Source organism: Homo sapiens, chromosome 3 (assembly GCF_000001405.40).
Source record: "Homo sapiens chromosome 3, GRCh38.p14 Primary Assembly".
Lineage (NCBI taxonomy): Eukaryota > Metazoa > Chordata > Mammalia > Primates > Hominidae > Homo > Homo sapiens.
Genome location: NC_000003.12, coordinates 83513212 through 83516250, shown reverse-complemented (window position 1 = coordinate 83516250; position 3039 = coordinate 83513212). Strand labels below are relative to the sequence as shown.

General features: G+C 41.7%; 1 annotated feature.

The window, feature by feature from the left end:
• Positions 853-2052: an enhancer, noted in NCBI's record as "P300/CBP strongly-dependent group 1 enhancer chr3:83563350-83564549 (GRCh37/hg19 assembly coordinates)". NCBI's record gives its function as "activates an origin of replication core promoter dependent on BRD2, BRD4, P300/CBP, MED14 and CDK7 cofactors, with strong dependence on P300/CBP, by STARR-seq in HCT116 cells {active_cell/tissue: HCT116}" and the evidence as "EXISTENCE:reporter gene assay evidence [ECO:0000049][PMID:35650434]".

The following is a 3039-nucleotide window of genomic DNA, read 5'->3' as shown; positions in this document are numbered from 1 at the left end:
AGAGGGATTATTAATTTCTTCACATACCATTATATTTCACATATCAAATAGTTCACATACCAAATGAGATAAAGAAGATACAAATAAAAGCCATTGTTTCACATGCTGCTTGCCATTGTCTCTCCTCCTCCCTTTTTAAACTCTAGTCTGTGTGAAGTGAAGGTCATCAGATTTCACTGCATTTCATTCCTTCACGTTGCTATTTACTGACACTCACTGATAAGTTTAGTACCTAGCTTTCCTTTTCTTTCTCCTCTACAACTCTTTTCATTTTCGTTTATGATTTAAACCAACACATAAATGATTCATCCAAACTTCTAAACTCTCAGTTTTTTACTTCTTTGTCTAGGATAATATTCAGACAAAATTATAGGCGCCCTGAACATTTGTTCATTTTATGCCTTGTCAACAGATGTCCAAAATTATTCATCTTAAATATTTTTTGTTTTTTTTATAATGGTACAAAAGTGGAAAAAGGCCAAGTGACCATCAACTTCTAAATGGATAAATAAAATGTTGTATATCCATACACGAAGTACTGATACATGCTAATGTTATCGGGGGTCCTTGCTCCCAGAGCTCCCAAGACGGTGGCAGGCCACTTCCAAAATGGCAGCAAGCTGCTTCCACTTCCAAGATGGTGGCAAGCCTCGTGTTCTCTGAGCTGGGGTTCTTGGCCTCACGGATTCCAAGGAATGGAATCTTGGGCCATGCAGTGAGTGTTGTAGCTCTATTAGAAGCCGTGGGTCACGGAAGAGAACCGTAGAACCCAGTGACTAGTGTTCAGCTCGATTAGGACGAACTGGGCACTTAGCAGTGCAGGAACAATGGCAAGCATTTAGCCCGATTGGGAGTGGCAATGGGCGCCTCACTGGATCGGGAGCACAGCAGACACCCTGCCGCATCCGGAGGGATGGAAGTCAGCGGCAGGTCTGCGACAGGGGCAGCAAACAGCAGTGGTGGACGGCGAGCGAAAGCTCAGCTCGAGCCATAACAAACACAGGCCAAAAGAGAGTGCAGTTGCAAGATTTAATAGACTGACGACAGAGCTCCCACACAAAGGGAGGGGACCCAAAGAGGGTAGCACCCCAATGCCTGGGTTTATATCCTGATCATTGTTCCTCCCGCTGTGCTCTCAGGCAACAGACAATTGGCTATTTCTTTACCTCCTGTTTTTGCCCAATTAGCATTTTAGTAAGCTCTCTCTACTATATGATTGGTCGGGTGTGAGCTAAGTTGCAAACCCCATGTTTAAAGGTGGAAGCGGTCACCTTCCCAGCTAGGCTTAGGGATTCTTAGTTGGCCTAGGAAATCCAGCTAATCCTGTCTCTCACTATTACATGATTGAACTTTGAATGTATCTGTTAGGCCTCTGAGTGCAAGCTAAGCCATCATAACCCCTGTGACTTGCACGTGTACATCCAGATGGCCTGAAGTAACTGAAGAATCTCAAAAGAAGTGAAAATGGCCTGTTCCTGCCTTAACCGATGACATCACCTTGTGAAATTCCTTCTTCTGACTCATCCTGGCTCAAAAGCTCCCTCACTGAGCACCTTGTGACCCCAGCCCCTGCCAGCCAGAGAACAACCTCCTTTGACTGTAATTTTCCACTACCTACCCAAATCCTATAAAATGTCCCCACCCCATCTCCCTTGCTGACTCTCTTTTCTGACTCAGCTCACCTGCACCCAGTCGAAATAAACAGCCTTGTTCACACAAAGCCTGTGAGGTGGTCTCTTCACACGGACGTACATGAAAGTATCACGTTAATTTAAAGAGGCCAGCTGAAAAAGACCACATATTGTATTATTCCATTTATATAGAAAGTTGAGAAAAAGCAAATCTTTAGATATAAAGACTAGATTAGTAGTTGCTTGAGTATGGGGGTAGTTGCCTGAGTATGAGGATAGATTAGTAGTTGCCTGAGTATGGGGGTAGTTGCCTGAATATGGGGATAGATTAGTAGTTGCCTGAGTTTGGGGGAGTATTAGTAGTTTCCTGAGAATGAGGATTACCTGTAAAGGGAACCTTCTAGGAATGTTCTAAAATCAGATGCTGGTGATGATTGCACAAATAGATAAATTTGATATGAATCATAAATTGTACACTTAAAATGGGTGCATTTGTGTTTTGTAAATTATATCGAATGAAACATAAATATTTTACACCAAATTATATTTCTCTGACATATTTTAACTAGCTGCCACAGGGTCAGCAAATGGAAATGCGCCTGCAAAGTCTTTTGTGGGGGAAATTTGCATCTGTTGAGAATCTCCATTAATGCAGCTAGGCCTTCCCTTTCTAGGCTTTTTCTGGATCCAGGGGAGATTAACTTAGAGTCTGACATCTAAAGGGTATGAAAAGAGACATTTACTATCCATCCTTTCTGAGAGCTACTACCTACAAGGCTTCATCTGCATAACAAGGCTACCTTTGCTACCCAAGCCTCTTCTTTACTCCTGCCCCATAACCTGTCCTGGCAGTAAAACCTAATTTACCAATATTACCTGTGTTCGGCCACACTCTTGGCCTGCATTTTTTCTGTAAAGTCAAAATGACATACGAGATTTGTACCTCATAGGAAGCTTGGGTTTTCATTTTAAAGACTCCCATGCATACACATTAAATAAGTTTGTTATACTTTTTCTTGTAATGATCAATCTCCTTCCAGCTGTGATTTTTCAGTGAACGTTTAGGGGGTCAAGGGCCTTGATTTCCCCAATACCTCACCAGAATTATGTACCCCTTCCTCTTTGCCCAACCTTAATCTGATTGTCATTCTCTGTAACTGACTGAAAAATACAGTTAACTCCATTACCCATCTCCCCACTGACGCATTAATCTGCTTTTATATAAAGCTGAATGCTCTTGGAGATATCACACAAAGTGTTAAGTATTTCAAAATCATGATGAAAAATCTCAAATAGTTATCATCACTGCCAATCTTACCACATTTCTTTAGTAAAATCATTTTTTGAATTTCTGTTTTATAACACCTCCTATCTCCAATAAGCCAACTGCCTTCATCACTCTGCTGAA